The sequence below is a fragment of the Homo sapiens genome, chromosome 1 (assembly GCF_000001405.40).
Source record: "Homo sapiens chromosome 1, GRCh38.p14 Primary Assembly".
NCBI classification, from domain to species: Eukaryota; Metazoa; Chordata; class Mammalia; order Primates; family Hominidae; genus Homo; species Homo sapiens.
Genome location: NC_000001.11, coordinates 116,503,615 through 116,528,674, shown reverse-complemented (window position 1 = coordinate 116,528,674; position 25,060 = coordinate 116,503,615). Strand labels below are relative to the sequence as shown.

The window sequence follows — 25,060 nt, the reverse complement described above, 5'->3', positions numbered from 1 at the left end:
GAAGAAGTAGGATGATTGTAACACCCTCCACATTGACACAGAACTCTAAATGGGAGCCTAGGGAAAGGGCACATTTTTTGAAGGGGTAGGCAAGAGGATATTCTCTAGAGTACCAGTTTCCAACTGTTGTACACATTTATGGACCAAGAACATAAAAGAAACATTGTTCAGTTCCGACCTGAAGTTATGTAGAACAAACATTGTTCTGAGTTCAACTAGATGATCTTTCTTTCATAGCTGTGTGGACATTATGTTACCTGCAGGGAGTAAGTCACTGAAGGTAGAGCCTCAAAAAAACACCCTTTGATCTTACTCCTAAGAAAAAAGAGAGAAATTGGAAAAATTCATCATAGAAACACAAAAATATGCGGAAATAGGAAAAAGGAGAAGAAGGAAAGAAATGCAACATAGGAAATAATATTATGTAGACTGAGATAAAGAATGTTAAGAATATTTGAACAAAGTTTGAACCAGATGAAATGTAACAGGCAGAAACAGAAGTAGGAGGATTTTTGGACTGATTTAAGTTGGTCTCTTGTGACTTTTATGACTTTCCACTGGGAAGAATAGTGATTAAGAATGTTCACTCTGCTTTTAAAAATTGAGAAAGAACGCTGCGTGCAGTGGCTTATGCCTATAATCCCAACACTTTGTGAGGCCAAGACGGGAGGATTGCTTGAGGCTGAGAGTTCGAGACCAGCCTGGGCAACATAGGGAGACCCTATCTCTACTAAAAATTAAAAAGTTACTGAGGTGTTGTGGCATGTGTCTGTAGTCCTAGCTACTTGGGAGACTGAGGTGGGAGGATCACTTCAGCCTGGCAGTTTAAATAAATCAGATCAGTAATTAATAATCTTCCAAAACAGAAAGCACCAGGTTCAGATGGGTTCATTGGTGAATTCTACCAGATATTTAAGGAAGAAATACTAATTCTCTATAATCTCTTTTAGAAGATAGAAGCAGAGGGCATACTTTCCAATTCATTTTATGAGGCCAGCATTATTCTTGTGCTAAAACCAAAGAACAATACAAGAAAAGAAAATTAAGACAAATATTTCTCATGAACATACATGTAGAAACCTTAAACAAAATATTAGCAAATTGGATCCAACAGCATATAGAAAGAATTATACATCATGACTAAGTGGTATTTATCTCAGGTGTGCAAGGCAGGTTCAACATATGAAAATCAATTAATGTAATCCATCACATTGACAGACTATGAAAGAAAAATCACATGATCATACCAATAGATACAGAAAAAGCATTTGACAAAATCCAACATCAATTTATGATAAAAACTCTCAGTAAACTAGGAATAGAGGGGAAACTTTTTCAACTTGTTAACAAATGCCTACAAAAAACCCTGCAGCTAACATCATCTGTAATGGTGAGAAACTTGAAGCTTTCCAACTAAGACCAAGAATAAGGAAATAATGTTCTTCTCACCACTCCTTTTCAGTATTGTACTATAAGCACTAACTAATGCCATAAGACAAGAAAAGGAAATAAAAGTTATACAGATGAGAAGAAAGAAAGAAAATTGTTTTAGTTCTCAGATGACATGAATATCTATGTATACAATCCAAACGAATTGACCAAAAACCTCCTGGAACTAATAAAAAACTATAGCACATTTGTAGGATACAAAGTTAATATACAAAAGTCAATCACTTTTCTATAACAGCAATGAACAAGTGGAATTTGAAGTTTAAAACACAACACCATTTACCTTAGCACCCCAAAAATGCAATACTTAGGTACAATAACAAAATATGTCCCAGATTTATATGAGAAAATCAACAAAACTGATGAACAAAATCAAAGAAGAACTAAATAAATGGAGAGATATTCTATGTTCATAGATAGGAAGACTCCTTATTGTGAAGATGTCAGTTATTTCCAATTTACTCTATAAATTCAGTGCAATCCCAAGCAAAATATCAGAAGTCATTTGTGGATATCAGCAAACTGATTTTAAGGTTAAATGGGCAGGCAAAAGACCAGAATAGCCAGCAAAATATTGAAGGAGAACAAAATTGTAGGACTGATACTACTCAACTTCAAGACTTACTATAAAGCTACAGTAGTCAACATAGTGTGGTACTGGTGGAAAAATAAAAGACAAATAGATCAGTGAATCGGAATAGAGAGCCCAGAAATAAACCAACATAAATATGGTCAACTGATCTTTGACAAAGGAGCAAAGGCAATACAATGGAGCAAAGATGATCTTTTCAACAAATAGTGCTGTAACAACTGGACATCCACATGCAAAAAAATGAATCTAAACACAGACCTTATGCCCTTCACAAAATTTTACTCAAAATGGACCATAGATCTAAATGTAAAATGCAAAACCATAAGACTCCTAAAACATAAGAGAAAACCTAGATAACTTTGGATATGATGACTTTTTAGATACAACACCAAAGACATGATTCATGAAAGAAAGAATTGGTAAGCTGTACTTCATTAAAATTAAAAACATTGCTCTATGAAAGACAATTTCAAGAGAATGAGAAGCCAAGCCACAGACTGGGAGAAAATATTTGCAAAAGACACATCTGATAAAAGACTGTTATCCAAAATATACAAAAAACTTTTAAAACTCAACAAGAAAAACACAAACAACCCAATTAAAAAATGAGTCAAAGATCTCATCACACACTTCTCCAAGGAAGGTATACAGATGGCAAATAGGGATATAAAAAGATACTCCTGGGCCGGGTGCGGTGGCTCACACCTGTAATCCCAGCACTTTGGGAGGCCGAGGCAGGCGGATCACCTGAGGTCAGGAGTTCAAGACCAGCCTGGCCAACATGGGGAAACCCCATTTCTACTATTTTCTATTTTGTAAAAATACAAAAATTAGCTAGGCATGTCCTATGTCAACAGGCAACAGGGAAATGGAAACTAAGACAACAATGAAATACCACTTCACGCCTATCACACTGGCCAAAATCTAGAACACTGACAGCACCAAATGCCAGTGAGGATGTGGAGCAACTCTCATTCATTGCAGGTGGGAATGCAAAATGGTACAGCCACTTTGGAAGACAGTTTGGCAGTTTCTTACAAAACTGTATGTACTCTTACCATTCAACACAACTGTCATGCTTCTTGCTATTTACCCGAAGGCATTAAAAACTTATGTTGACATAAAAACCTTCACATGGATGGTTATAGCATCTTTATTAATAATTGTCAAAACTTGGAAGCAACCAAGATGTCCTTCAGTAAGTGAATGGACAAATAAACTGTGGTACATACAGACAATAGAATATTATTCAGCACTGAAAAGAACTATCAAGCCATGAAAAGACATGGAGGAAACTTAAATGCATATTATAAGTCAAAGAATCCAATCTGAACAGGCTACATGCTATGCAAATTTTACCTATGTGACATTCTGGAAAAGGCAAAACTGTGGAGACTGTAAAAAGATTAGTAGTTGGCAGGGGATATGAATAGGTGGAACACAGAGGAGTTTGGGGGCAGTGAAAATACTCTGTATGATACTGTAACGATGTTATTATACATTTGTCCAAACCCACAGAATGTACAACTGAATGCTAATGTAAAGTGTGGATTTTTTAATGATAATGATGTATCAGAATGGTTTCATTAATTCTAAAAAATGTACCACTCTGGTGAGGGATATTGATAATGGGGAGGCTATGCATGTGTAGGGGCAGGATGTATGTACAAACTTTCTGTAACTTCTGCTCAGTTTTGTTGTGAACCTGAAACTCAAAATATTTAAAGCCAAGTGAAGCTAACTTACTAAGCCATGAATCAAGTTTGTGGAATAACCCCAAATAGAGGAACCATTCCAAGTGTTTTCAAAACATAGTAATTTGGGTGCATATTTCAAGGGGCTGCATTCTAAGGATAAAAAGAACTATAAAGAAAAAAATTGTAATGTTTTAAGTAATTATGTAGTTAGCAGTAATGCTGGTATTTGGTTACTGTTGAGTATGTATTGCAGGAAAATGCAAATGAATATTTATATTGTTGTTATTGAATATTGGGATGTTTGGCATGAAAGAAAGGAGATTCAGCTGTAAATTGATTAGGTTAAGTAAACATTGTAGCCCTGGATTTATTTAAAGGTATTAATTTGAACCATATGAAATTGCTGTTTCTCTAGTCAAAAACCATTGAATCTTGGCAGCTTAATAGGGTTCAGCATAATGCCAGCATGACCCATTAATGTATTTTGTCTCTTAGAAAATTGTGTATTTCCTGGTTCTGTCCATTGAAATGTTCTAGAAACAAGAGCCAGTCCTGTAGCAATTTGCATGCTTCTTGGTTCTTGGACCCAGATTTGAGTGACCAGTGTTACCTGGTGTGCCCAGACTTCCCAGTTTCAGCACCCGAATTTCATATCCCAGGAAACTCTTCAGTTTCAGGAAAACCAGGATGATTGGCCACCTTCACCCAGATTATGGTACCTAATTATCATTTCCCATGAAAATGAACTAGGGCCTTTGGGACAGTTGGCTGATTCCATACCTGGGGCATGGAATGCATTAAAATAAGCCTTGAGTATCTTATTTTACCACAGAACAAGAAAGCTATCAAAAAGACTTAACATGATGGTACGAACAGGACTCAGGAGCCACTCTGAAGAGGTTCCCTCTGGCCAAAAATAAGACAATTGGAACATCAATAAGAATAACAACTTCAGTAGATTGAAACACATCAGTTGTGCTCAGTTCATGCGTTCATAATGTACTAAAAACAAATTTAAAAACTCACTGGTCATCTCTAGAGAATGCTTGGGAGCTAACTCATTATTTTGAAAAACGATAAAGAAAGAGAAGAATCAAATGCTGCTTTTCCTATATAAATTGAACCTCAGAGTAACCACATTGTTGATGAGGGGCAGTTTATCTTTATGTGAAGATTGTAGTTAGTAAAGAAGGAATGATAGACTAAACCACTTTGCAAACCCTTGATGAACTTATGGCTCTAGACAATGATCTTCAGTGGCACTGACATCATGAAAAGAAAAGCAACCAGGCATCGTATGCCACCTAAGGGAAGTATACAAACACTACTTGGGGAGTATTATTGCCAAGGAATATCTGAATTTTGCTACTAAAGAAGGGAAAATGATGTTCGGGGGCACCTAGCAGTTTCTGGCCAGGGTCTTCTCAAATCTGACCAATAGGTGACTGCCTATTTGCTCCAACACACCTGTGTTCCTAATAAAAGGAAAGTGTGATCATATCCTTATTCTCATTTATTCATTCATTTTCTCTCTCTCTTCCTCCTCTCCCTTCCTTTCCCTTCCTTTCCCATATCCATGTCACATTTGTTCTTAGTGACCCCTCCCCAATCCTTTAGCAGTGCATTGTGTACTCTGATTTTGGATTTTCAATAGCTGGATAGAGTTTACCTTGTGAACATACCACAGTTTTTTGTGAAAACAAGGAGCTGCTGTGAAAACAACTTAGGTTGTTTTTGCCTTATGGTATATTAAGTAAGGCTGCAGTAAATATCTTTGTGCCTTTTTGCGGGGAGTAGAAGGGCACATCATTGATATTTTCCCCAGGATAACATCTTAGAAATGGAATTGCAGAGTCACAAGATATTAATAGAGATACCAATAACATCTACTCAATAGGTTAATGACAGTATATAACAGCTGTTCTTAAATGCAACTACCCTATGAGATAAGTATATTTATTAGTCTCGAGTATAGTTACCCTGTGAGAAAATGGAGGCACTGAGAGGTTAAGGCACTTGCCCAACATTGTAATGACTTAGTGAGACTATAGGCACATGACTTAGTGCAATGTCTAGATGCTTCATGATAAATATTTTTAAGGCTTATTATATACAACTGCCAGAATTGCCCTACCAAACACAATGCCAAGTTCTGCTTCCACTGGCAGTATGAGATGGTCAGAAACAAACCTTCTAGTGGAACACTTGCTTCTTTTATTAAATAACACAGGGTCTGGAATGTATCAAGCTTGTGCATATAAGTTTGTTTAGAAATAGTCGAATCTTGTTATTCATATTAGTTCTACAGAGTCAAGTTAACAGTGAAATAGCAAGTAGTGAAGTAATGTTCCTGGGGGAAATACAGGGGTAGGTTCCTGTGAGCCTCTAGTCATAAGATTTTTGTTAATGATCTGTTTATAACCTTGTTTTATGTGTGTCTCTGTTTAAATAAACCTTAATATATAGTGTTGATTTATTGACCTTGAACTCATAGCCAACAGCACTGTAACTCATGCCTAAGTGAAGCTTATCTAATACACCTATTTTCTCTGCAAGGCACATCGCAGCCTTCTTGCACTTAGGAACTCTTGTCAGCCCTTCAACACTATACTTTGGGACCACTTAAAATAGTGAAATCACCAACAAAAAAGCACAAAAATGCAAAATCATGGCACTAAATAGACTGCAAATAGGACACTTGTTAACAGTGTAAGAACTTGAAACAAGAAGGCAGAGCTTTACCTTTTTCCACCTCTGCTGGGAATCTGCTTATTGGGTGACTCAAAGTTTTCATCACTGTTCTTATGTCTGAGAATGACTGCTTTGGGTATTGATTTGTGGATTACAAATAAATTTCAGTAAATAAGCAAACCGCAAGGTGGAATCTGCAAATAATGAGGATCCATTTTGATCAGTTCAACTAGTTGAATTTCTTTTCTTTTCTTTTTTATAGGTCATTCAAGACACAGATATGCACTTATACCCATACCATTAGCAGTAATTACAACATGTATTGTGCTGTATATGAATGGTATGTATGCTTTTTAAAACAAAATAGTTTGAAAACTTGCATTGTTTTCCAAAGGTCAGAAAATAGTTTAAGGATGAAAATAAAGTTTGAAATTTTAGACATTTGAAAAGAAACAAAAACTTTTTTGCTTTACGTGTGTGGGACTGCTGAGCATGCTAGGTTCCTCCAAAGATCCACATTATCTCAAGGTAGAATGAATCCTTAGGCCACAGAGAGCTTTACAGGCCTGGGAACACAGCCTGGACCTGTTGCATAGCCTCCTTTTACCTGTGATCTGCTTCAAAATATAGTTAAACTTCTGGTCTCCAAGTCAGAGTTTGCTAAAGACCTCTTTAGGCTGCCACCTCTGTAATTTTCATGTCATATAACACGAATGGGGCTCCCAGGTAGGAAGGGAGTTTTGGTTGAGTTAAGTGACTTACGTAATACAAGTAATTGTGCTTGTATTACTTCCTGAGCCTTCTCAGTCCCCTAGCAATCTTGGGCAGTCATACAGCTTGGAGAACTGATGACTTGGAGAATTTGTTCCCAGCCTGTTCATTCCTGGTAATGAGTAATCCCTCTCAAATCCCAAAGGACAGGGAGCAGGCTGTAATTCTGAAGAGTGGATATTCTTGATGCCACAGCAGTTTCCATACCAGCCTTCACCAAAAGGAAATATGCCAGACAGGGAATGCCGAAGAGTAAACTTTCTACAAGTGATAGTATCTAGGATCCATTGTGTCATGAATCAAGTTTATAAACTAGATTTCAGTTTCCTTAGACCTGCACTGTTTAGTATAGTAGCCAATTAGCCACATATGATTATTTAAATATATCATTTAAAATGAAATACCATTAAATTTAAGATTCATTCCTCAGTTACACTAACCACCTTTCAAGTGCTCAATACCTACATCTGGCTAGTGGCTACCATACTGGATAGCCCAGATAAGGAATAATCCTATCATTGCAGAAAGTTTTCTTGGTCAGTGCAGAACTAGACTATTTTGCGATATCAGTGCTAAATATAATTTCCTGATGATAACATTTTCATATTATAAGTTGTAAATACCATGAAAATCCATCCCTAAGTAATAGATTATCAGTCAGTTGACTCTCCACTAAACAGTATTATAACGATCAGCTGAAGAAAGTTTTCAGCTATTGCCCAATGCATAAAATATTTTGGGAGCTCAAATTTTTTAAAAATCTATTTTAATCCCCAAATAGCAGTATAATAGTTAATCATCTCCTGAACAGGTTGGTTCCCAGAAACCAAAATCATTTTCCACTCAGTGTTGTTGTAGATCTCAATTAAAGAACTAACCCAGGATACCTGAACTAAAGAGAGGTGGCACTGAGTTTCCATAGAACTTCAAAACAATTGGTTGATTTCACTTAAAAAAAAAAAAAAAAGTCATTCAATATACAGAAAATTACTCCCCTGGTCAGTACTGTTAGCCCCAGATAATCTGAAAAAATTTGTTCTTAAAAAAAAAAAACAATTTGGAGGCCAGGCATGGTGGCTCATGCCTGTAATCCCAGCACATTGAGAGGTCGAGTTGTGTGCATCACTTGAGCCCAGGAGTTTGAGACCAGCCTGGACAACATGGTGAAACACTATCTCTACAAAAAAATACAAAAATTAGCCAGGCATGGTGGTGCATGCCTGTAGTCCCAGCTACTCAGGAGGCTGAGGCGGGAGGGAGGCAGATGTTGCAGTGAGCTGAGATTGTGCCACTGCACTCCAGCCTGGGTGATGGAGTGAGACCCTGTCTCAAAAAACAAACAAACAAAAAAACTCAGCAAGCATCTCAACCTTTAAGCAACCTTAAAGTCATTAATTGGGAAATAGTGAGATGTTTGGCATGGAATCTTCAGAAGAGGAAAGAGTTGAATGGAAACAGCTCCAGCTGCCTAGTTGTAGTTGACAGACAACTTTATAAGCTCTAGTCAACCCTATTGACTAAGCTTCTGAACCACTAGCATAGTTCTAGGGTCAGGCGGATGCCTACTGTGGGCAGGAAAGTGATGCATGCATGTGTGGGAGCAGTGTCTTAATGTCTGAAATAGTAGCCATGAGCTACATGTGGCTATGGAGCACTTGAAATGTGGGAGTCCAAATTATCATGTGCTGTGAGTGTAAAATAATATGTTTCTAAGACCGTGTGTGAAAGAATATAAAATATCTCATTAAAAAATGTTTATATTGAGTACATGTTGAAATAATTTTATATTTGTGACACATTGTGTTAAATAAAATATTAAAATTTACATTTTTTTTTACTTTGTAATGTGGATACCAAAAATTTTAAATTACTTATGTGGCTTGCATTATATTTCTATTGGACAGCACTGGTCCAAACTATTCTAGCCTTCCCTGCATCTTCAGCCTTATGCACGAGGTAAAATTAGCCATTTTGTCAACAGTTTTTGCATTTGGTTTTCTATCATGTTCTGACCAATTTTTGAACAACTCTTTGGACCAGCTCTGTAGCCGATTTGATTTAAAGCATATAGGATAGCAGGAAATCCCAGGGTGATGGGGCTCTGGCTTAGTTTTCCATATTTAGGCCTCTAATAGGCAGTCAGTAACTCCACATTTCACCTTTTCTTTTCAGTTCTTTAATTGAGAAGACAATTTCTTCATTTTTAGGTATTCTGAAATGTGACAGAAAACCAGACAGAACCAAGTAAGTACACTGCAGGCTGTGCACTCTGTGCCAGAACAACAGCAGCCCTGCTGTAGATGCCCATTACTTGGGAAGCCAGATTGTACTCATCTGTTGGTTGCCTTGTACAGTAATAAGAAGTAACATCAGCAGATATACTAACCATAGTGTATTAAGTACCAACTGTGTGCCATGCACTGCACTAGCCACTCTCTGCATATCGTTTCCTGGAACCCTCTCAATGAGCCTTGCAGGAGGAGTATCATACCCCTTGCTTAGAGACAGCGCATATGAGATTCATAGAAGTCAAGTGAGATATCAAAGTCACGTTGCTAGTAAGTGATGGGCTGGGATTTAAATCTAGGTCTTTGGACTCCAAGAGTTATACTGTTAACCACTACAATACACTCCCTCCACCTCCCATCCCAGAAAAAGTTGGATCAGGGATAGGGTTCACTTCAGGAGCCAGGGTCAGAGCTGGGCCTGTAGTCACATATAAAAGATAGGACACAAACACAATTAGCAGCAGTGTTGGTTTAATAAACCGCCGTAGGGTGCTCCAAGAGGCCCCCTCCTGGCAGATCCCACTGGTGGTCAGGAGGCAGAGGCATGAGCTGGGTGTTGAGGGATGAGGGGAAGAGTTAAGGCCCAGGGTGTGAAGGGCAGGACAAGAAGTAGCAAGCCATCCTCTTTGGAGCAGAGAGTGTTGAGGCATTAGAGAAAGATGGGGCTGGGCTGGCAGGTTGGGCCAGGCTGAGACTTTGAGAGAGGCTTTGGGTCATTCTTTAGGGAGAACCGCAGAGTTTTCTAGCAGAACTATGCTTTAGTAAGATCACTCTGCTGGCAAAGCATGGGACTAATTAATAGGAGATGAGATGAGGACACTGGTTAGTGGAGTAATGAAATAATCCAGCCAAGCAGAGAAGAGGGCCTGAGTCAAGGTGATGGTGGCAGAACTGAATATGCAGAGCTAGGTTTGAGAGAAACAGCAGAGGTCCTGTTAGCAAAACTTTCATCTGGCAGTGTAGGCTCTGATGCCAAACTCCCTGGTTCAAATGCCAGCTCCATTTCTCACAGGCCTTGGACAAGTCACTTAAACTCTCTGTGCTTTGGTTGTCTTCTGTGGAAAATGGGCATAATGATAATATAGAAATGACAATGATAGCATAGATAATCACATAGAAATAACTGTGTCAAAATATATTAATATAAGTACAATGCTTACAATAGTGGCTGGCTCATAATAGTTTTCAATAAATGTTAGCCATTATGACTATTGTTACTATTATTTTTCAAGAAAAATAAAAGCGACAGGACCAAGTGTCACAGAGGAGTCACACAGGAATCTTGGTTGGGAAGGAAAATTATGAATTTTTGCTTTGACAGGTTGATTTTGGGGTGCTGGTGTATTACCTGGCTAGTGATGTCCATGCACAGAATTGGAGCGTGGGCTTCACGCTAGAGTTACGGATTGGGGCGCCTCTTCATCTGGACAGTAATTGATGCCGTGAGCACCTGAGGTCACTAAGAAAGAAAAGCTAGATGCCCTAGGGTGATGGGAAGAGGCAGAGGAGGCGGGACTGGGGAAGCAAAGTCCAGGATCAGAGCCAGGGTAGCCCCGGGTTAGAGACTCGAGGGAGGAGGCTACATGTTAAAGCTGCAGAGACAAGGAGGTAGGCGAGGGGTTAAGACCTTTGGTTTTGTGGAGTCGGTTGCTGTGGTCAGTGCAGGGATGAAGTGAGGGTGGCTAAGCAGCAGCAAGGGCCTAGGTGAGGTGGGATCGATGGATGGGCCACAGGTGTCCTTTCTCCTCAGCTGCCAGGTGGAACAGTGCAGGAGAAACAAGCTGTGGCAGGAGGCCTGGGGGCAAGGAAGTACAAGGGGCAGCTCAGCCGGCCACAGACCCAAGCTGGGAGGACCCAAGGCCATGAGGGGTTGATGGGCCAGGAGGCTGGGCAGAGAGGAGCCAAGTAGCTGGAGATGAGGTGAGGTGGGAGAGGTAGGGACCTCCAGGCTTGTGGTCAGAGGAAGGCATTTCAGATCTGAGCAATATGCGTGAGCCCCAGGTGAGTGTGAGAGCCAAGTCAGGTCTCTGCTGAGATCTAGGTGGTTACAGTGGAGGGGAACTCTGAGTGGATGGGGGAGGCATAGCCATCACTACCAATGATGGGGGTAGGGGGGCATCATCCAGGGCCACGGGGAAAGGGGATGGGCATTCTGGAACTCATCCCTTCCTCTGTTCCTTTCATCACAACAAACGTTATGGAGATTATGCGATACCAGGCACTGTGCTAGCTGATAGGGTGGGGGTCAGAGTACCCAGCGAGGCTAGACATTGTGTGGGATTCAGAGAAAGCATATAATAGGGCTCCTCCCACAAGAAGCTTGTGGCCACACCAGGGAGAGAGAATGGATGCACATGAGCATACGAAACTCTTAGAAGGACTTAGGCAGGAAGCACAGGTGATAGGCAGAATGTGTGATATGAGGGTAAGGGCTGAGCAACCAACGCAGAGGAATTGGAGAGGCCAGAATAATCAGAAAAGCTTTGGAGGGGGTAGGATGTGACCTACATTTTCAGAACAAGAGTGGAGTAGAAAAGGCATTCCAGGTGGGATAAACAGCGGAGGCAAATACATGAGAGGGAATTAAATCTGTTGTGATTTATTTGATAGTAAGATTGACCTGCCTGGCATCGAGTTGAAGTAGAGGCAAAAGACACTGAATATTTGCAAGGAGGTCCTTAGAATGGAGTGATATGGAAATAAGCAGCCATTATAGGTTCTTGAGCAGGAACATTTTGCATGAAAAGCACTGCTTTGGAATGATGAGTCTAGAAAGGTAACACTGACCTCTCTAAGGTGGCATTCTAGGGAGAGACCTGAGTATTTGGGGCTGAGATTGAGAGAGGAGCTTACTTTTCTTGGTATATTTTTATTTACTATTCAAGTTCTGCATCATGTGTGTTTACTGCCTATTTAATAATTATTTTTAAATTTAAAGAACCCATTGTGGCAGCAGGGGGAATTCTCTAAGCTCAGTTACTAAAGGGTTATGAAGCTGGGTATGGTAGCACACACCTGTAGTCTCAGCTACTTGGGAGGCTGAGGTGCGAGGATCGCTTGAGTTTAGGAGTTAGTGGGAGGATTTCTTGAGCCCAGGAGTTAAGAGACCAGCCTGGGCATCAAAAAAATTAAGTTAAATTAAAATGTTAAAAGGTTCTGTATATGGTGGAGATGGAGGAGATCGGGGGAGGAGATGAGAAAGGGGCAAGCATAAGTAGGAACAAATGCAATATTTCCCCAGCTGCGCGAGGGCAGGAGCAGGAAGAACTAAACCCAATTAGGAACAACAGAGGACAGATGAGTAGATAGCAGACATCTGACGGGAAATGGCCACGCCACACTTCTCACCCAGGCAGTTCAACGTAGGCAATTTCTGAGTGCCCTGGTATTTTTTGTGTAAGTGTCTAGAAAACAGATCACAAAGTTAGCCAAATTAAAAAGGAAGCAGGGAGTCCTATTTCTCCGAGAAGAAAGATTTACAGGTGGGATCTCAGGCAGGAGCCAAGCTGGAGAAGCAGGCTTGATTCCTTGTAGTGGGTGAGGAGACTGCTGGGAGAGGGCAGGGAAGCAGAGACCGGCAAAAAGCTGCCCCAACAAGAATCCTGTGCCTGCCAACCTGGTTTACAAACATTTCCCACTTTATCCCCCTCAGAAAGTCACAGCACCCATTTCATGTTCTGTGAGGCTCCCAAGGAGGGAAACTTCTAGTTTGCTGTCCTTTACCTCACCCCTGTGACCACAGCACTAATTTCTCATGAATTCTTGTTACCAATGAGATACAAATGTTTGGGGAGCTCTGGCCTGGTCTGATTTTGAGCTCTGTGGAAATACGCAGACCACGGGGGAGGAGGCCGGGAAATGGACTCGGTTTGAGGGCTTGCTCAAGGATGCGGTTTTGTTTTTCGGCTGATTTACTCCAAGACAGCCAGAGATTGTTCTGTCGTTGCCACAGAGGTGACTAAACAGGAAGGTAAGTTTGAGGTAGGAAGAAAACCATCCCCAGGAGTTTCATGTAGCAAAGAAGGAAGTAGCTGTTACAAATGGGTGACAGTTTACATGTGGGTCTAACAGTCTCAGCTCTGTTGTTCAATCTTTCAGTTATACTCAGAGAGTAAGCGGGAGGAGCCTTGGGGCTGCTATTGAGTGCAGCATCCTGAAGGCTGTTCTTCAAGTGTTACTCAGACTACTATCCCAAGAGCACTCAAGGCAGTTCTTCCTCCATCCCTGCTCCCTAGCTCCCTTGGCTTTGATGAGTTTATTACAAAAGGGCTATTCACTTTAGAATAGGAGGGTAATTAAGACTCCTGGTCTGCAGCCCAGATTTACTGCATTTTACAAGTTAATAATATGATTTTTTTTTGTAGCTCCAATTGATTGGTAACAGAAGATGAAGACAACAGCATAACTAAATTATTTTAAAAACTAAAAAGCCATCTGATTTCTCATTTGAGTATTACAATTTTTGAACAACTGTTGGAAATGTAACTTGAAGCAGCTGCTTTAAGAAGAAATACCCACTAACAAAGAACAAGCATTAGTTTTGGCTGTCATCAACTTATTATATGACTAGGTGCTTGCTTTTTTTGTCAGTAAATTGTTTTTACTGATGATGTAGATACTTTTGTAAATAAATGTAAATATGTACACAAGTGACTAGGTGGTTTGGCTACTGTTTTCCTAAGATAGAAAAATAAGGGTCACATACCCTTTTAAAATCTATACTCTTTCTCCCTTGCTTTAGGGGAAAAATAATTCATTGTAGGGTCATTCATGGAGTGAGGGAGAAAAGTACTGTCCCTCACTGGGTTCCACTGCTGTCAGTACGAGGCAAGTGAACACATGGGTCTTTACTTCTAGCTGCTTTTGAAAAGAGCAGATCACCACCATCCAGTGCAGTTGTATAACACAGGTGGGGCAGGGAGACTTCTCTCGCTGCCATTAATTAGCCTACTTAGTTTGTTGCATTGGTTAGCTGTCACATTGGGAGGTCAACAGCAGACAGTAGCTGGAAAACCGTAGTCATAACAAATACAGAGTGGCAGCCACTCCTGAAGTGGTGGACGGTGCCAGTTGCCTCTGGCAGCCATGTAAACCCAAGTCAATACATAGACGCTTTAGCTTGTGCCTGCACTGTCCCTGGAATTCCTGTCACATGAGAGTCTCCAGGCTGAAGGAAGAAATCAATATTTCTTGACTCCAAGATGGGCCTGTCAAGGTGGGTGGATCACAAGGTCAGGAGATCGAGACCATCCTGGCTAACACAATGAAACCCCATCTCTACTAAAAATAAAAAAAGTTAGCCAGGTGTGGTGGCGGGCTCCTGTAGTCCCAGGTACTCGGGAGGCTGAGGCAGGAGAATGGCGTGAACCCAGGAGGCGGCGCTTGCAGTGAGCCAAGATCAGGCCACTGCACTCCAGCCTGGGGGACAGAGCGAGACTCCATCTCAAAAAAAACCCCTCAGGCTACATGTGTTCTCTCTAGAACAGCCTGCATCTGAGCTCCCACAGGCCTCAGCAAGAGTGGGAAAGGAGCCCAGAGTGCTTCTGGGAAGACCCACATCTCCCCAGCTCCCCCCATCTCCATGTGGCATGGATTCCTATCCTGTCTCAGACTAATCTTGTCAAACCCTTTATCCCAGACCCTGTAGGAAGCCCATGACTCCCCTGGAGACTTCTGTCCCATGCAGCTCTGTAATGCCCCACTTTCTGCCCCCATCCATCAGCAGCGACATCCCTGATGTCCTCTTCTGTGAATGCCTCCTTTGCTTCGCTGTTCTAATCGAAACCCAGCTCTCCCTGGGGATGCTGCCTCCCACAGCCTCTCAAGGGGTAGCTGTGTTCTTTCCTGCATCCCTTGTATTCAGGGCCTAGGGGAAAGAAGACGTCCTCCTTGCTCTTCTCTGCCTGCAGACCAGTGCTCCTTCCTCGGCTTTGATGCTCATGCCAGCTAATCATCACCACCTGACATCCCTTGTTCTGGTTATCTTTGTTATTCCCTATCCCTTGGAGGTTTTAGCACTATGTCAAAGTCTTCTCCCTGACATCACTTCTTCCAGATTTTGAATGCTTTCAAAATCTACAAATCTAATACCCTCGCATGGTCTTTTCTTCTCCCTTTTTCAGCTAGCCACCCCATAGCCATACTGCTGACCTATAACTGCAGCATCCCCGAATAGTCTCTGTAACAAGCATCTCACTTCGCTAGTCCCTACTTCGCATCTTCCGCATCACCCCCTTGGGGGCTCCAGCGCCAAACATTCTTCAACCCCACTAGAACCTACAAGCCAGTGACCTTGCTACCTGTTCCCTGGCCCTGAACCCCTTCAAGTTCTCACTCTTCCTCTTACCTGGCTTAGATTCCCATTGTTCATCATTACAATTACTCCTTTTTCTTTTCTTTTCTTTTCTTTTTTTTTTTTTTTTTTTTGAGATGGAGTTTCACTCTTGTTGCCCAGGCTGGAGTGCAGTGGCACGATCTCGCCTCACTGCAACCTCCACCTCCCGGGTTCAGCCTTCCAAGTAGCTGGGATTGCAGGTGTGCGCCACCACGCCTGGCTAATTTTTTTTTTTTTTTTTTTTAGTCGGAGTCTTGCTCTGTCACCCAGGCTGGAGTGCAGTGGTGTGATCTCGGCTCACTGCAAGCTCCACCTCCCGGGTTCACACCATTCTCCTGCCTCAGCCTCCCAAGTAGCTGGGACTACAGGCAGCTGCCACCACGCCCAGCTAATTTTTTGTATTTTTCAGTAGAGACGGGGTTTCACCATGTTAGCTAGGATGGTCTTGATCTCCTGACCTCGTGATTTGCCTGCTTCAGCCTCCCAAAGTGCTGGGATTACAAGCGTGAGCCACCGTGCCCGGCCTATGCCTGGCTAATTTTTTTTTGTATTTTTAGTAGAGATGGGGTTTCACCATTTTGGCCAGGTTAGTCTTGAACTCCTGACCTCAGGTGATTTGCCCACCTTGGCCTCCCAAAGTGCTGGGATTACAGGCATGAGCCACTGTGCCTGGCCTACAATTACTCCTTTACTATCACTCTTTTCCTCTCTCGCTTTGCCATTCTCATTTTGCCAAGTCCCAACCATGGTTATAGTTACCTCTACCAGTTTCCTCTCTGCATCCAAACTGCTGAACATGCCTGGAGAAAAATCTAACACCAAGCTGATTAGTTTCTCTTTAATTACTTCAAACATTTGGCAGATTTGTAGTGTTTCTCAAATGTCCTCATTACATTGCTTTGTCACTGTCTCCTCACTTCTCTTCCTAGATCTTCAATCCTGTGTCCTCACTCTCAACTGATCACTTTGCTTCTCAACTTTCTGAAAAAAATAGCATTCAGAAGATACCTCCCTCACACTTCCATCACACCTACACACCCAGCTCTCTCAGCACCACTGCACTTTGCCTCTCCTCCTGTTAATCCAGGATACACTCTCCTTGCTCCTCCTAAAACCAGTCTCTTCATTTGTATTAGTCTGTTTGGATGGTGCTGGCTGTCTTAAACAGATGTTTACTTCTCATAGTTCTAGAGGCTGGAAAGTCCAAGAACAAGGTGCTGGCCAATTCAGTTCCTGGTGAGGGCTCTCTTCTTCGCTTGCAGACAGCCACCTTATCACGCTATTCTCAGTTCTTTGTTTTGCAAATGAAGAGATGGACAGAGACTTGCCTCAGGTCAGTTATAAGTGGCAGAGCCAGGATTCAACCCCAGGCAGTGTAGCCCCAGAAGCCTCTTAACCATCAAGCTATAATGTAAGAAGATAAATGTGTGCAGTCAATCTTCCACATATAGTAGGGAGCCCTCCGAAAGTCTTCTCCAAGTTTTGTTTTGTGTTTCCTCCAAGAAAGAGTCTATCTTTAATTTAGGTATTCTCTAAAGAGGTCATTCGCTTTTAACCACTTACGTTGAGCATGTAGCAAATACATCAAATACTAAGCTGAACTCTGCCTCTAGACTCTTAAAGCTAGATGGGTCCTCAGAGGCCTCGTCAGACAGACAAGAAAACTTGGACTGTGATAGGGAAGGTAATTGGACCAAGGTCTTATAGCTAGTTCGTGGCAGGAGCCCCAATACCCTGGTCTCCACTCCAGTGCTTTTCCACAACACCAGGGTGCCTCCCAACAACCACTCCTAGTGTAGAGTGGCACCAGCCTGGGGAAGATGGCACTGGCTTCTGGGCTATGCAGCTGGAGCCTAGCTGCAGCCCAGCACCTGGTGAGGGCTTGTGGTGCTGGGCGTTTTGGGAGGCACCTCTGGGTCAGAGCGGGAGTGGTGGATAATGGCAGAAGTAAATTCAATGTGAACAAATGTGTGGATTGCCCAAGCCACCTGTGTTGACATCTGATACCTAGAAAATGAGGTACAGTCCTTCCTGTCTCCCCAAGCCTTTCCTCTTCTTGATCTCAACAATTCTTTTTCTTTTTCAAGATCCTTCCATGCAAAGGAAAAACTAGTCCTCATTGGAGTAGGCCCACATGGCTTGATTTGGGGATGACTGAGAAGCACCCCCAAAGAGGCAGTCTCCCTCAACAGGCTCCTGAAATCCCACACCTCTCACTGCTGTAGATGAAAGCAATTCAGGCTGTGAACATTACAGCGGTTGGCTTGGGAGGGATGGCTCATGATACCGCTTCATCAGCATGCATCTGCTGAGAACCATTGCCCCGGCAACCCACATGTAGCCTGGAGCAAAAGAAAAACGTGGGCCTCTGTGGTACAGGTCTTGATGCATTTCCCTTTTTAAATTTTTTTTTTTTACTTTAAAAAAATATAAAAACAGGTTCTTGTTATGTTGCCCAGGCTAGCCTTGAATCCTGGGCTCAAGAGATACTCCCGCCTCGGCCTCCCAAAGTGCCTCGGATTACAGGTGTGAAACATACACCTGGCCTTGATGTATTTTAATCGGTTAATTTTTTCCAGAACATTGAGGTAGCATAAAAAAAGTTGGAAAGTTGAAAAGTAGGTACATTAAAACTTTATATTAAGTTTAAATTATTTTACTTATACCAAACAAACAAACAAACAAAGCCCAAGAATTTATTAGAATGTTACTTTCCTGGCTTTGATGGAAGAACACTCATTAGTAAAACCTTCAAAGTCTACTTCTTGTTTTGTTTTCAGTTGAGAACATTGTCATGTTTGAGAATTTTTTCTTGAACAAGTGATGATTTTAAATATTTTTAAATTAACTTTAGCTCACTTGCAACTTCTTTTGGATGTGCCTTTATTTAAAAATTTGATAGTTTGTTTATCACAGATTTTTTGCACTGTGACTAAAAAAAATTGCATTAAAATATTATTGATCTTGATTACTGAGGTTTTTGATGTTGCCCTTGCAATTTCTGCCTAAGGTGAGTGTCTCATTTCACGATGAAGTCATCCATCCATCCACCCATTCATTCAACACATAGTTCTTGACTGCCTACTTGGGGCTTGCATTCTAGTGGATAGAGATAGACATTAACCAGGGTAAATAAGGAAACCACAGCACTAAGAGCCATAGAGAAGAATAAAACAGGGAAGGGGGTGGGGAGTGTAGGAAGGGACAAGGAAAGACCTCACTGAGGGACCCTCCAGCAGAGCTGTCAAGGGGTCACAGATGGGATCCCAGGATGGGGATTCCCAGTAGAGGCCCTGAAGTGAGAGCAGGCCCTGCACATTCGCAGACCAGTGAAGAGGCTCATGTGCCCAGTCAGCCCACAGGCATGTTTTTTTTGGCTCTCACAGTATTAAACTTAAAAAAAAAATGATATGCCTTTAGATGGGCATCTCTCTGCAGTTCACAAGCTCTACTCCTCCCTATTTTCTTGCACTCATTTGTTTCCTGCCTCTGAACTCAAGCTGTGGGGATAATTGTGTGCTTTGAACATGTCCTGGGAGCAAGAGAGACACAGGACAGGAAGACAGGGCAAAGCACATCTGGCCTTAAGCTGTGTAGATTGAAGATCAAGGGCAAATCCCCACCCTACTTCATAATGTGAAGTCATAGTCCACAGTGCAAGGGCAGCGGGCTCCCCAGAAAAGGGTGGGGTTTAAATTCTTCACCAACCAAGAGAAATGGGAACTTAGAATCAGAAATAAGTTGAGTCATAGAAACTAGAGGGCATTATTTTTTTTCAGATCTTAGTTTGTGGACTGAGTCATACCTACAAGGATAAAATCTATTCCACCTCTCCTGTGTTCCAGACACCTTTGATCCCATAACCTCTATTTAATCCTCACCACAATAGCTCAAGCTAGATGGAATTTTCCTACTATTATTCCTGGGTGACACAACTAAAATTCAGTGAGATTAAGTGAGTTGCCCAAGGATGTGCAATGGGCTGCTGGTGAAAGCAGTATCCAGATCTCCTCTGCCTACCTCCAAAGAGTAGGCTCTTCCCCAGGAACCTTGCTGCTTGTCATAGAAATGGAGTCCCTCACTCCATCTCATTGCTACAAGTGTACACAGGGTGTGTAGGTATGAAAGCAACTCTGATGGCCCTGTCATTGTGGCAAATACTTTAAAAAATGTTTATCTTATTTGAGTCTCAAAACATCTTGGTGAATCAGATAGCATCACCCCATTTTGAAGACAAGAGAACAGATGTACTGAGTTGAGACGACATGCCCACAGTCACCTAGCAGTGACTAGGAGATATGAATCTGGGTCATAGTCCTGTCCCAGCACTGCCTTGCTGCTCCCAAGACAGGATTGTAGTATGCTGTCTACCCTACCCAAGCCATGCCACTCATCACAAACTTTGCCACATTAGCAAAATGCTACACAACGTATTTGAAAAAGGAGGATGTAATCCTCCATGCCTCCCAGCCCATGCCCACACGCAACCCTAGATATTTTCATCATAGAATAACAGTAAAATCAGAGAGCTGGGTATATCCTGACAGGCTAGTTACCCACTCATCAACTCATGGCACATGAGGATTTTCAGTGCTGCTACTAGGAACTGACTCAGCAGGTTACATGACCCGGGGCTCACTGAATGCTCAGGCCAGAAGGATGCCCATGCCTTCCAGGATGCCACAGACAATGGTGGCTACCTGCTGACATGAATGTTGCCTACAATGAGATGTGTTTGTTCCCAAGAATCTATTCTATTAGGTATACTTTAACATTGTCACGTAAGCTGGTGAAGTGTGAATGCAAAAGAAAGTTATTGTTTTTATAAGAAACAAGTTGACAGTTTTACAAAGACTTAATAAAGGAGAGATGCTAAAATGAGATTAGTGGATTGAGTACAAGCAAGACAGCTGAAAAGATAGTGGGAAAAGTACCACATCTATAAGGTTTCTGTACTAAAATTGCTTTGCAAGTATCTAAGCTCTCGCTCCACTCCACAGAAACTGAAATTAGAAATTGTAGACAATGCATTAAGGGCGTGATTTTTGTATGAAAGAATAAGGAAGAACTCTGAAAAATATACTTAGTTTCAATGAAAAGACTTTGACTATGTCAAAACCTTAGTGAAGCAATGTGTATTTCTATGTTTTAGGTTAACAAAAATATTTAAGATATATATACATAATTTAAAATTTTTCTTACATCTGCTCACAATAATATACTTTTACATTAATACATAACACATAAGTGTAAAAGTATGTGTATGAGTAGATGTAAGTAGAAAATATATATTAATATATAATCATTTTTTAAATATATAATATATAATTACTATGTAATTAGTAATTACATACAACCATGCCCGGCTATTTTTTTTTTTTTTTGTATTTTTAGTAGAGACGGGGTCTTGCCATGTTCCCCAGACTGGTTTTAAACTCCTGAGCTCAAATGATCCATCTGCCTCAGCCTCTCCAAAGTGCTGGAATTACAGGCATGTTCCACTGCATCCAGCCTCCAATTTATTTTTTAATGGCTGCAGCATATTTCTTGGCAAGTCTAAATATATTCAACCATTCTTCTTTTGAAGAACGTTTGCTTTGCTTCTAGGTTTTGTTTGTTTTCTACCATAAACGGTAATTTATTATACATCCTCGTTTATATAGCCACACATTTAGGTATTCCTATGGGGTAGATTCCCATGAATAGAAATGCTAAGTCAAAAAGTGTATGTATTTTTAATTTAATTTTCTTTTTTTCAGAGACAGGGTCTCACTATGTTGCCCATAGGCTGGAGTGTAATGGCTATTCATAAACGCAATCATACCTCACTGGAGCCTTGAACTCCTGTGCTCAATGATCCCCTTGCCTCAGTCTCCCCAGTAGCTGGGACTAAAGGCACATGGCCACCACTTCCGGAAACTTCAATTTTAATAGATCGTGTTAGGCTATTCTTGCTTTGTTATAAAGAAATACCTGAGGCTGGGTAATTTATAAAGAAAACAGGTTTAATTGGCTCATGGTTCTGCAGGCTGTACAAGCAAGGTGCGGGCATCTGCTTGTCCTCAGGGAGCTTTTACTTTTGACGAGGCCTCAGGGAGTTTTACTCATGGCAGAAGGTGAAGCAGTAGCAGACATGTCACCCAGCAAGAGCAGGAGCATGTCGGGGGAGGGTGCCACACACTTTTAAACAACCAGATTTTGGGAGAACTCTCTCACTATCGTGAAGACAGCACTGAGGGGATGGTGCTAAACCATTTATAAGAAATCCACCCCCATGATCCAGTCACCTCCCACGAGGCCCCACCTCTAATGCTGAGGATTACATTTCAACATGAGATTTAGAGAGGACACATATCCAAACTATATAATAGATATTGCCAGATTGCTTTCCAAAAAGGCTATAATACCTGCTATGGTTTAAATGTGTGTCTCCTATGAAACTCATGTTGAAACTTAATCCCCACTGTAACAGTATTAAGAGGTGGAGCCTTTAAGAGGTGATTGGGTCATGACAGCTTTGCTCTTATGAATGGATTACTGGGCTAATGTGTTATCACAGGAGTGGGTTAGTCATTGCAGGAGTGGCTCTGTTATAAAAGCCTGTTTGGCTCTCTCTTGGGCCCCCTCACTGTGTGATGCTCTGTGCCACCTCAGGACTCTACAGAGTTCCCACCAGCAGGAAAGCTCTCACCAACTGGCCACTTGACCTTGGACTTCCCAGCCTCCAATATATGAGAAATTATTTTTTTTCTTTATAAATTACCCAGTCTCAGGTATTTAGTTATAGCAACAGAAAATGAACTAAGACAACATCCAAGAACAATTATTAAAGTAACTTTTTCCCTACATTCCCATTAGCAATAGATATTCGTCTTTCTAAATCTTGATCATTCTGATAGAAGTAAAGAAATATCTCATTGCTACTTAAATTTAAACATTACTCTGATTACTAATCTAAAATCTTTTCATACGTTTTTGATCATATGAACTTGTTCTATGAATTGCCTATTTGCACCTTTTCCCCATTTTTGTGTTTAAAAAAATAATTCATTGCTTTAATTAATTTTTGCAGCTAGCCTGTCAGCTTCCATTCCCTGTCCTGTTGGGTAAGACAGAAAAATGTTACAAATATTGACATTTTGCTGTCATAAATCACTTAACAGAGTAAATGAAAGTTTCAAAGTACAATTAAAAATTGTCCAGAAGCCAGGTGCGGTGGCTCACACCTGTAATCCCAGCACTTTGGGAGGCCAAGGTGGGCAGATCATGAAGTCAGGAGATGGAGACCATCCTGGCTAACAGTGTGAAACCCTGCCTCTACTAAAAATACAAAAAATTAGCCAGGCGTGGTGGCAGGCTCCTGTAGTCCCAGCTACTCGGGAGGCTGAGGCAGGAGAATTGCTTGAACCCTGGAGGCTGAGGTTGCAGTGAGCTGAGATCACACCACTGCACTCCTGCCTGGGTGACAAAGCGAGACTCTGTCTCAAAAAAAAAAAAAAAAAAAAGTCCAGAAAAAAGAAGCTAGAAAGCCAAAAACAAAAGAAAGGATGAAAAGAAACCAGGATGCTTGAGAAGATAGAAATGATGTGAGCCATGTGGTCTGTAATTGGTATATGGTGGAAAAATATAGCAAAGAAAAGTAAAATGCTCAGGAGGAACACACACACACACACACACTTTCATTGAGCAATTTCTTTTTTTCTTTTATGACAGAGTCTCACTATGTTGCTCAGGCTGGTCTTGAACTCCTGGACTCAAGTGATCTGACCGCCTCAGCCTCCCAAAGTGCTGGAATTACCACTGAGCATTTACTATGTTCCAGGCCCTGTGCTAAGTGCATTGCCTGCTGCGTCTCACCCTTCAGTGGGAGTAGGTAAGTAGTATTAGTCCCACTATATAGATGGAAAAACAGAAGCTCATAGAAGTGTAGTAGTAACATGGTTAAGGTTACATTGCTAGTCAGTGGTAGAACCAGGATTTCCATCCAGGTCTGCCTGACTGCAGGCACTGGGTTGGTATATGGCTGGGCCTGAGAACTATCCAGGAGTAAACAGCGTGGACAAAGCTGGCATGGAAAGAGCTCTGGCTGAGATACAGATTCTAAACTGGGCCTCAAAAGGGGTTAAAGGGAAGTAAGGCGATGTCAGTAGAGCTGAAGCTGGGGTTGAGAGGCTTCCTGAGGAACTGGTGTGGTCAGGGGAGCCTTTCAGAAAGTCCCAGCCCTGCTAGACTGTTAGGGCCCTGAGCTGGGGCAGGGGAGGGTGGTGGATGCAACAGAACATCGCCCCGGATGTAAGACCCAGCCAGACAAAGTGACTCATCACCCTGATGTCACCCCACAGCCTCAGCTGCTAATCATGGTGAAATAAATGTCACTGCAAGTTTAAGGAAGACTATGCACTATTACCACTGAGCATTTACTATGTTCCAGGCCCTGTGCTAAGCGCATTGCCTGCTGCGTCTCACCCTTCAGTAGGAGTAGGTAAGTAGTATTAGTCCCACTATACAGATGGAAAAACAGAAGCTCATGGAAGTGTAGTAGTAACATGGTTAAGGTTACATTGCTAGTCAGTGGTGGAACCAGGATTTCCATCCAGGTCTGCCTGTCACTATTACAACTGTCACTATCAGTTGCTGACAGAGAGAGAATGGGTGACCTTGTTATCACTGAATTCCCAAGTGCTTTCTCACTGCCACCCCACCCCCCTGTTCTTCATCAGCCTTTGGGTGACACAAACCCACTGAGAGGCCTGCCGGAGCCACACTGTTGAGACCCAGTGGCTGGTGAAGGGCGTCTTCTGCAGTGGCAGGCGCCATGAGTGCAGAGTCCTGGGCTGCCCACACGGGCCCTGCTGTGGGGCCTCCATCAAGTGATGGAAGCTCCCTGAGCCTGCTCTGAGCCTGCTCCCAACCTCAACATGAGGAAAATAATGCTGTCTCCACTCACCTAACAGGAGTGAGTGAAATCATTGTGAAACACTGAGGCACAAAATAAGCATGAACGCTTTGATGAATTGGAGTGGTCATGATATAAAAGACTTGACAAACCACAGGAGGAAGTTGAGAGATCCCCTTGCATAGGGAGACAGTGATGCTGGTTCCATTTCAGCTAGAATGAAGGGTGAGAAGGCCCTGGCACCAGGGCTGCCTAAGAACATGGGGGTGGATCATGTCTGATTGCATAAACCAGTAGGGCTTTCTGGAGCAACTCCCAAGCAGAAGCCTCTCCCAGTGGATT

At 42.0% G+C, this 25,060-nt stretch overlaps 1 protein-coding gene across 3 annotated transcripts in view, besides 4 other annotated features; it reads left to right on the top strand.

Annotated features, from left to right (window-relative positions):
• CD58 (CD58 molecule) overlaps positions 1-14,141 on the top strand; it is a 56,493-nt gene extending 42,352 nt beyond the window's left edge. Inside the window, exons 4-6 of one of the 3 annotated variants that reach the window (NR_026665.2) lie at positions 6,692-6,769; positions 9,373-9,444; positions 13,853-14,141. Coding sequence is in view for 2 of the 3 variants with exons in the window: in NM_001779.3 (NP_001770.1) it covers positions 6,692-6,769; positions 9,408-9,444; positions 13,853-13,862 (125 nt within the window). In the remaining variant the exon portion in view is untranslated. Of the gene's footprint in view, positions 1-6,691; positions 6,770-9,372; positions 9,976-13,852 lie in introns of those variants that run through there. The other 2 variants (NM_001779.3, NM_001144822.2) reach the window with 2 other exon arrangements.
• Positions 19,167-19,226: an enhancer, noted in NCBI's record as "active region_1564". NCBI's record gives its function as "activates an Ori minimal core promoter by ATAC-STARR-seq in GM12878 lymphoblastoid cells {active_cell/tissue: GM12878}" and the evidence as "EXISTENCE:reporter gene assay evidence [ECO:0000049][PMID:35858748]".
• Positions 23,753-24,734: a transcriptional cis regulatory region, noted in NCBI's record as "candidate enhancer chr1.8039 targeted for multiplex CRISPR interference". NCBI's record gives its function as "positively regulates CD58 gene expression with high confidence in K562 cells {active_cell/tissue: K562}" and the evidence as "EXISTENCE:mutant phenotype evidence [ECO:0000015][PMID:30612741]".
• Positions 23,954-24,248: an enhancer, noted in NCBI's record as "tiled region #12485; HepG2 Activating DNase unmatched - State 14:Gen5', and K562 Activating DNase matched - State 5:Enh". NCBI's record gives its function as "activates a minimal TATA promoter and a strong SV40 promoter by Sharpr-MPRA in HepG2 and K562 cells {active_cell/tissue: HepG2 | K562}" and the evidence as "EXISTENCE:reporter gene assay evidence [ECO:0000049][PMID:27701403]".
• Positions 24,087-24,356: an enhancer, noted in NCBI's record as "active region_1563". NCBI's record gives its function as "activates an Ori minimal core promoter by ATAC-STARR-seq in GM12878 lymphoblastoid cells {active_cell/tissue: GM12878}" and the evidence as "EXISTENCE:reporter gene assay evidence [ECO:0000049][PMID:35858748]".